A 9,745-nucleotide genomic window follows, 5' to 3' on the forward strand; every position below is an offset into this window, starting at 1 on the left:
ATGGCACATGCCTGTAATCCCAGCACTTTGGGAGGCCAAGGTGGGAGGATAACCTGAGGTCAGGAGTTTGACACCAGCCTGGCCAACGTGGTGAAACCCCATCTCTACTAAAAATACAAAAATTAGCCTGGTGTGGTGGCTCATGCCTGTAATCCCAGCTAACTCAAGAGGCTGAGGCAGGAGAATTGCTTGAATCTAGGAGGCTGAGGTTGCAGTGAGCTGAGATCGAGCTACTGCACTCCAGCCTGGGTGACAGAGACTGTCTCAAATAATAGTAATAATAATAGAGACTGCACTCTTAAATATCACACAATTCCAAGCACTTTACGTGGATGATCTCATTTAATCTTCACACCACCCAATGAGGTTGGTGCTGTTATCATCCCATTTTACAGACGAGGAAAGTAGGGCACAAGGAAGTTAATCGCCAGAAAGTGAAAGAACTGGGAACTGAACTCAGCTGTCTTACTCCAAAGCCTTTGTGCTTAACTATTACAGATAGTTCTTCTGAAGAGATTAACAGATGAAGAGGTGAAGAGGATAAGGAGAGTTTCAAATAGGGAAAATAAGGTATTATGAAATTTTAACTTCTGATGTTTCGATGAAAATTTGTGAGTGCATTTTATCTTTCTACCCATAGGGTTTAACACACGACTGGGCACCCAACCAGTAAATGTTAATTTATTTAATTAATCCATCACTAGCAACTTCTTTCCCTTCTGCATTCTCCCAAACTGCTTACTTATTTTAGCTTTTTCACTTGTGAACTATCCCACCCCTCAACTTAACCAAGTTAATAATGAAATATTAGCCAATAAACTTAAGGCTCATAGTCATTCCATTTCTTAAAAAAGCCAAGAGAACTAATAGTAAGCATGCTTATAAATAAAGATAAAAGGAGTTAACTAGAATTAATGGTAAAAAAGGAAAAAAATAGATCAAAGGGGATTTTCCAACACTGAATGGTACCCGGGAAAATAAAACATTTCCACCTTCTCTGGCGCCCTCTTGTGCTTCCTAGCTGCAACTGTCAAGATTGCGATGCTTCCAGGAGTGCAGGACGGTGATACTGGATCTGGATTTATGTTCTGCGTTGTACACACAAACCTTTATAAACTAAACTTGTTTTTCTTCCCTGTATGTTACTCTAATCAGTGCTTATGTCAGGAATTGTAAAATATCCTTTAACCTGGGTTTCCTAGGCTGAAATTGTCCTTATCCATTTGAAGTCCCTTCAGCTCCTGCTCCTGAAGACTCACACAATCTATGAAATGCGTTTTTGGAAGTATGTCTCCCTGTCTGACTGTGTTATTTGATAAGATTGTTCTCATTGCATTCTCTCTCTCTCTCTCTTTCCCTCTCCCTCCCCTCCTCCATCTACCCTCTTCCTCCTTTCTGAGGCCAAGGCTCTGAATTCTTTGAGGAGTTAAAACTGCAGGAAATTCCTTTTGGAAGAATAAAATACAGCCATTCTCCTTCCACTTTTCCTTTATTTAAAGGCAGCCTCCAAGCAGTGCTGCTTGTTCTTCATTGTCTTGCAGAGCTTTTTGTTCATTCCTTAGTAAAACAAGCGTTTTGGTTTTTCGGGTTCACTGTGTGTGCACCACAGGACTGTTACACAAAGCCATGGGAAACTAGCAGAAGCTCAGGAAGTAAATGTCATTAAGAAACAGATCCTACGTTGTATTTGAATCACCCTCCTTCCTTTCTGATGGCTAAATCTTTCTTATGAGGTGAAACTTTTCGTACCAGGATCTTTCTTTTGTTTGGATGCGTTATCTCCCAGGAAGCTCCTCAGACCCCAGCAAGTAGACTTTGGGTGTCCTGTCCCAGTGGCTGGATAAACAGGCTCGGATATTTCAAATTCTTAGTTAGAATTAAACTGGAACTTGTTTTATGTTTACATGAAACTGAATAATTAGTGATAATATTAAAATTAATAATAATTGGCCGGGCATGGTGGCTCATGCCTGTAATCCCAGCACTGTGGGAGACGAGGCGGGTGGATCACCTGAGGTCAGGAGATCAAGACCAGCCTGGCCAACATGGTGAAACTCTGTCTCTACTAAAAATACAAAATGAATCCATAATAATCATAATTCCTGATTTATAAGGATGTTCATAAGTTTTTTTTTTTTTAAAGGAGGAGAGTTGAACCCCAGTTTGCTTCAGGCCACTACATGGTCTTTCTAAGGTGAAGACTATGTTCATTTTCTTTATGGATATTATATCTTAATACCATGTCCTTCCACAGTGAATTTCTCCTTTAACTGGGCAGCAGTATGACTCAAGGAGTTTTTAAAACTGCTGTTCCTAATTCAGTAGGTCTAGGGCAAACTCAGGCATCTTTATTTTTCTAAAGCTTCAAGGGATGTCCATGTGTAGTCAGAATTGCAAATCGCCACCATGTGGCCACGTGGTATACTGTCACAGCACACAACCAGTGCTGTGTGGTATCTGATTTGAACTTTGCTATAAACCTATGCAATAAGCAGGTTTGCCATTACCCTCAACTTACAGATAAAAAGACTAAAACTAAGAGCTTGACCAAACGTACATAGCTAGTCAGTATACAAACTGGGGCTTATACGTGGGTCATATGACTCAAAAACTTATGCTCTTTCCATGTTGTTGGAGAGAACAAGATTGATTTTTTAAAAAATAAGGTCTTTCATATGCATTACTTCCTCCTCTTTCCTGCAGTGGCTACATCGGTCCATATTTTCATCATCCCGTAGGTTACTTTGGCAAGAGCTTTCACCAGAAGCCCCCTCCTGTCTTTATCTCTTCCCTGAACACTACCTTCGGCTTAATCTTTAACCATTAAGTGCAGAGTTCATCAAGTAACTCTTTCGTTTAAAAATGACCAATATTTGTCCTGTTTACCGACTATATTAGTCCATTCTCCTGCTGTTAATAGACATACCTGAGACTGGGTAATTTATGAAGGAAAGAGGTTTAATTGACTCACATTTCAGCGTGGCTGGGGAGGCCTCAGGAAACTTACAATCATGGTGGAAGGGGAAGCAAACATATCCTTCTTCACACAATGACAGGAGAGAGAAGAATGAGAGCTAAGCAAAGGCGGAAGCCCCTTATAAAACCATGAGATCTTGTGAGAACTTACTATCATGAGAATAGCATGGGAGAAACTGCCCCCACGATTCAATTACTTTCCACTGGGTCCCTCCCACAACATGTGGGGACTATGGGAACTACAATTCAAGATGAGATTTGGGTGGGGACACAGCCAAGCCATATCAACATCTGTAGTGGGTTGAATGGTGGCCCCCCAAAAGACCTGTCCTCATCCTAACCTCTGCACCCTATGAGCATGAACTTATTTGGAAAAAAGTTCTTTGTAGATATAAATAAGTTAAAGATCTTCATATGAGGTCATCCTGGATTATCTGGGCAGGCCCTAAATCCATTGACAATTGTCCTTATAAGAGACAGAAGACACAGACACCAGAAGAGAAGACCACGTGAAGACAGAGGCAGAGATGGGAGTTTTACAGCCACAACCCGAGGAACGCCTGGAGCCATCAGAAGTGGGAAGAGGGAAGGGAGCATTCTCCCCTAGAACCTGCAGAGGGAACATGGTCCTGCTGACACTTCAATTTCAGACTTCTGAGAGAGTAAGTTTCTGGTGTTGTAAACCATCCAGTGTGTGGTCATTTGTTACAGCAGCCTTAGGAAACTAATATACCAGCTCATCACCTCTTTTTGACTTTCAGGGACCATGACATCTGTGGCTTCCCTGCCAATCCAGCCCTGGTCTTGCATAAATCCTCTGCCCATCTGGTTGTTCCTTCACTGTCTTCTCCCTGGGACCCTCAGGTCTCTTTGTGTGCCTTCCCTCATGTTCCCTCCTCATCAGAAAGAAGACATGCCCTCTCAACAGAGTCCCCCTTCAGAAGGGAACTGGCTTTTGAGGTGGAGTGATAGTGGGGGAGGAGATGAGATCTCTAGGGACATGGTGGTGTAGTAGGCAGGGTGCTCTTTGCCAGTCAGTTCCTTGACATGTTTTCTAATTTTTTTTACCAGCCTCAACCCTTCCTTTTGTTGCCTGCATTAAAGAGTGTGTCTAAGATCCACTACTTGCACAAGTCTTGCTACATTCTTGGGGGTCATCCATAAAGTATGTTTGACTAGTTCACCTCTTACTCTCCTAGGTCTCATGCATAAGGTATGGTGAAATCTACCCCATGAAAACATTTTTCTTGAGCACCTACTAAGTGCCAAACACTGCCCCAAAGCTGGGGCTGTAGCAGTGAGATAGATGTGGTGGCTGACCTCACAGAGCAGAGTCTTCCTGTTTTGATAAATATTGTGCTTATCTAGTTGGACTTCACTGAGGTCACACAGCTACTAAGTGGATGGCCAGGATTCAAATCTACTTCCGTCTGACTGCAAAGTTGCTTTCTACCACATCATGTGTATCAGTTTGGGTCCTGGCAAGAAACAGAGAACATGTTCCAACAGAGTAACTGAGGGAGAATTTAGTGAAAGATTATTTACAAGGAAGCAGGAAGGGTTAAAGAAAACCCAACAAGGAATGGTGCTGTGTCTCAGTGCTAGCAATAGCGGGGAGCCATTTCTACTCCTAAGTCTAAAAGGTTGAGGCAAGGAGGTGGTTACTGGAACCTGGAGAGAGTGCCTGCAGCTGTCAGGGAGGCTATCAGACAGGAGTGAGGCTCTTGGGTCGAGGAATAGCAATCTCATAGCAGGAATTCAGGGGAATAAAGCCCCTAACCCCATACTCCTCCTCTGCTTCAATTTCCTACTGGTGACTCTTATCACCAAGGTAGGTGATAGGTCAAGGAGGACAAGGTAGACTGGGTGATGCAGGCCTTAGAGGTCAGCTGTGGAGTCACAGAAAAGGATACAGAGAGTGGAAAGTGGATCTGGAGGGGCAAATGAAAAATGTGCCTGTAATCCCAGTACTTGGGAGGCTGACACAGATAATTACTCGAGCTCAGGAGTTCAAGACCAGCCTGGGCAACATGACAAAACCCTGTTTCTGGAGAAAAAAAAAAAAAAGATGCGTGTCTGTAGTCTCAGCCACACGGGAGGCTGTGGGAGCTTGAACCCGGGAGGCAGAGGTTGCAATGAGCTGAGATCATGCCACTGCCCTACAGCCTGGGCGACAGAGCAAGATCATATCTCACAAAAGAAAGAAAAAAGAAAAATGCCCAACATACCAGTGTTTCCCAAACTTTACTCCTTCAGATACTATTTTCATGAGTTTACCATATCCTATGTTTACAATACACTCAGCTGTACTTAATATTTTATGAAAACGTCCTCTTTTTTTTTAAACTTTGTTAAATGTACTACTAGTAACAGGTACTAATAAATGTATTAATGGTAATTAAGGTAATATTTCACTACCTTGAATAGAAGAAAACCATAAAAAATAAATCTAATAAAATCAAGTTTGCTAAATTTTAAAACCTAAAATTTAACAATAATTATAAATGATAATGTATCTTATGATGTCCTTCACAGGCTGGTCCCTACCTGCCTCTCTAGTCTCCCCTCCCCTGCCCTGCCCCTGCCCCATGCTTCCATCTCTCCATTTCAAGCATATTGGTTTTTGGCCCTTCAAAACCAGCCATACTTCTACCTACCACAGTGCTTTTACATAGGTTATTCCTTTGGTATATATCAGTAAGAGGACATACCCATGAGTGCTAGGGAACCTGAAGAATTTAACAAATACAGTGCTATCAGCTAAAAACAAGAAGAATTATGCTTTCCTGAAAACATTCTAGAATTACACAGGTATTACTCATGATTTTGTCATTGATCTGGATATCCAGGTTCTTGTCCTGGCACCAAAGTTGAATCCCAAGATCTTAGATGATATATTTAATAAACGTGTGACTCAGTTTCTCCATCTATAAAAACAATTAGCTATCAAGAACACGATAGATACACTAAATCAACTACCTAAACTGTTGAATGCAATTCATGGTTGTATTTGTTATGTGAGAGCAGAAAATTACAATACTTTCTTTCAGACACCTACCTTTACCAAATCCAACCTCTTATGTGCCCAACCAGATATCTTAGTCATGCTACAGTTATTTAAAGCTCTCATTTGTTAAAAAAAAAAAAAAATTATCTAGCATTCATATTTACAAATAAATGAGATAAATGGGGAACAAGTATAGCCACTTTAGATGCTATTTAACATCCGTTCTGTTTTCTTTCTATAATAGTGACCTCTACTTTCCTTGGGGACCTTACTTCCTCCCCTACTCCCAGACATGTGGGAAGAGATAGCCCCACCCGGCTTCATTCCCAGAGCCACAGTGACAATCATAAGGTTTAATCAGAACTAAGGAGATACAGCTGGGGACTTCTGCTTACAGTTATGCTCTTTCTACTGGACTTGAATCTAGGGGGATGTACTTGATAGCTTCAATCATCCATTCTCCTCATTTATCTACCTTATTGTATGCCCTGAAGAAAACTGGTCTGCACAATATAAGTTCCCTCTAGCTTCTGGTTGAATTTAGACAATGAAGAGTATGAGCAAGAGCACAGCCTTTGGGTCATCTTGCAGGGTCTGAGAGTAAGGCCGACGTGAAGGGAAATAGAGCCATGGTTGGCAGAGGGACTGGGTCCTGGCCCCATTGGCTGACTGGCTGATTCTGGTCATGCCAAGACTATTATATACACTGATTCTTTAGTTGCATGAGCCAGGACATTTCCTTTTTTTTTTTCCTCAAAACATTTTGAGTTTGGGGCTTCAAACACGTGAAACAGAGTCTTAATGAAGGTATAACTAAAAATATAGCTCTGAAGTGAAGATGCATGGATCCCTGATCCTGAGGACTCTAAATCTGACCTAAATACAGTTCCAGTCTCCCTAAGGCCCCATCCTACAGCAGATCCTGTTTTGAGATTTCTCTGAGATTCTGTCTCTCTTATACATGATTTATAGCCTTACAATATTACAATATTCACCATCTTTACTCGCCATGAGTCAGTTTGTTCCTTGGAGCAAAGCGAATGTAATGAAACAGTTCCCATCTTACAGATAGGGAAATGGAGGCCAAGATATATGAAGAGACTTCATCAAAGGCAAACCTGAACGTGGCAGGCAGGTCTCTGGCCAAGGATCTTTCCATGCCAGCTCCGTTTCTTTATGTCCCCTTTCCCTCCTTCCCTATGCTTTCCCCTTCCCCTTTGCCCTGAATTTTTGTGGTCCGGTTGCTCTAGGAGCCTAGGTCTTGTCACATTATCTCAGCACTTGGATGACATGGTTCCAGCTGTCAGAGAAGGAAAGGCATGGACTTGTTTTTCTCTGAGTTTCCTTCTATTTCTGTATGCTCATTTGGCCTTCAGCATGTGCCACCCTGTGAAAGTTTGGGGGATGTTTTATAATGTTGCTTAACTTTATTTAGCTTCCCAAGTATTTATGACTTGCCTTCAAGATGAGAGTGAATTTAGCTGGTGTCCCTGATTCACCTTGGAAAAATCTATTGTGCCTAGCACAGTATCTGGCTTGCATTAGATAATCAGTAAATATCCATTGACAAGATTGACTAAAAGAATCTTACATTAGGCAAAATGCTGGCTAAGCTGCTGTAACAAAATTACAGTGGCTCCAACATGACAGAAGTTGATTTTTCTCTCACTCCCCAGAGGTGTGCCGGCAGTCCAGGGTGGGCAGGCGGCTCTGTTCTATGAAGTCATCCAAGGGCTCCTTGCCCTGCTATCCTCTAGAGAGTGTCTTTCTCCTCATGGTCAGAGCTGGTTTACCAGTACATTCACATTCTGGCCTAAGCAAAGGGGGAAAGGGAAAGTGAAGGGAAAGGGAAAGTGAAAGGAAAGAAGGTAACTTCCTTATAAAGATGTGATTCAAATGTGCACATATTACCTCTGCTTGCTTCTCGTTGGCTAAATCACTGTCACGTGCTCGTGCTAGCTTGCAAGTGTGTTGTGGGAAGTCAGGGACCCCGAATGGAGGGACTGCCTGGAGCTCCGGCAGAGGAACATAAATTGTGAAGATTTCATGGACACTTATCGGTTCCCAAATAATACTTTTATAATTTCTTATGCCTGTCTTTACTTTAATCTCTTAATCCTGTTATCTTCGTAAGCTGAGGATATACGTCACCTCAGGACCACTATGATAACTGTATTAACTGTACAAATTGATTGTAAAACGTGTGTTTGAACAATATGAAATCAGTGCACCTTGAAAAAGAACAGAATAACAGCAATTTTTAGGGGACAAGGGAAGACAACCAAAAGGTCTGATTGCCTGCAGGGTCATTATATTATATATATATATATATATATATATATATATATATATATATATATACACACACACACACACATCTTATATATATATACACATTTTATATATATATATACACATTTTATATATATACACACATTATATATACACACACATTATATATATACACATTATATATACACATTATATATACACACATTATATATATACACATTTTATATATATATACACATTATATATATATATAAAACATTATATGTGTGTGTGTGTGTGTGTATATATATGTCCAAGAGTAATGAAAACATGTTACTGCAGAAAGACTGGTCCAATAATGTTCATAGGAGCCTTATTCATAATTAGCCAAAAGGTAGAAACAAACCAAATGTCCATCAACAGGAGAATATTTAAACATGTTGTGGGATATTCATACTGGAATACTGGAAGGCTACTCAGCAATAAAAAGGAATGAATTCCTGATACATGAAACAACCAGGGCTGATTTACTCATTTGGCACAGTAGGCACAGTTCTGGGGCCTGTGAAAATAAACTTTTAGGTGGAAGAAAATGTTTTAGGTGAAAGAAATTGTCATATTCATCTTTATAGCAACATAGTCATAAGACATAATTTTTGATTATATAAATAGTTTGTCATATTCATCTTTATAGCAACATAGTCATAAGACATAATTTTTGATTATATAGTGTGTGTACATAAAATGAAGGGGCTCATGAAGTGCTTAGGGCCCATAGAAATCATAATGCAGGCCTACAAACAAGAATAAATACTAAAATATGTGTTAAGCCAAAAACCTGGGACACAAAAGAGTACATGCTGTACTCTTAAATAGAATTCTACAACAGGCAAAACTAATCTATGTTGATAGTGACCAGAAAGTGATTACCTCTGGAGTGGGGAGAGATTGCAAGAAGGGAATGAAGGCACTTTCAGGGATGGCAGACATGCTCTATATCTTGTTTTTGGTGGTGGTTATTTAGGTGTATATACAATCTCCTAAAATCATGGAACAGAACCTTTAGGTTCTGTACATTTTATTGTATATTAATTATGCCACAATTTTAAACAAAGGGGAAGAATAGACAGGGTACAATGAATAATTTCTGTGACAGATTTGATAAATGAATTACTAGGACAGTGTTTGCTGACAAGGTTTAACATTGCATTCTTGTAGAAAACCTTTAGGAACTCAAAGGGAAGAGTCCAGGCACTGTGACAGGCCAGTGGGGAATGAACCACACTGCTCTATATTAATCAAGCTTTTTTATTGCAAACAACAGAATATATCTGGTAAGCTTATACAGCACAGGAATTTATCAGAAGAATAACAGGAAGTACTGTATTCACAACAGTCTCTGAAAACAGGCAGGAATTTAAGACAAGATCAGACCATCAGATGGCTGGTGGATCATATGATGCCATAATCCTATACCCTTGCCCCAACCAA

General features: G+C 40.5%; 1 annotated feature.

Annotated features, from left to right (window-relative positions):
* Nucleotides 7,711-7,930: an enhancer, noted in NCBI's record as "active region_4525". NCBI's record gives its function as "activates an Ori minimal core promoter by ATAC-STARR-seq in GM12878 lymphoblastoid cells {active_cell/tissue: GM12878}" and the evidence as "EXISTENCE:reporter gene assay evidence [ECO:0000049][PMID:35858748]".

Source organism: Homo sapiens, chromosome 11, assembly GCF_000001405.40.
Source record: "Homo sapiens chromosome 11, GRCh38.p14 Primary Assembly".
Lineage (NCBI taxonomy): Eukaryota > Metazoa > Chordata > Mammalia > Primates > Hominidae > Homo > Homo sapiens.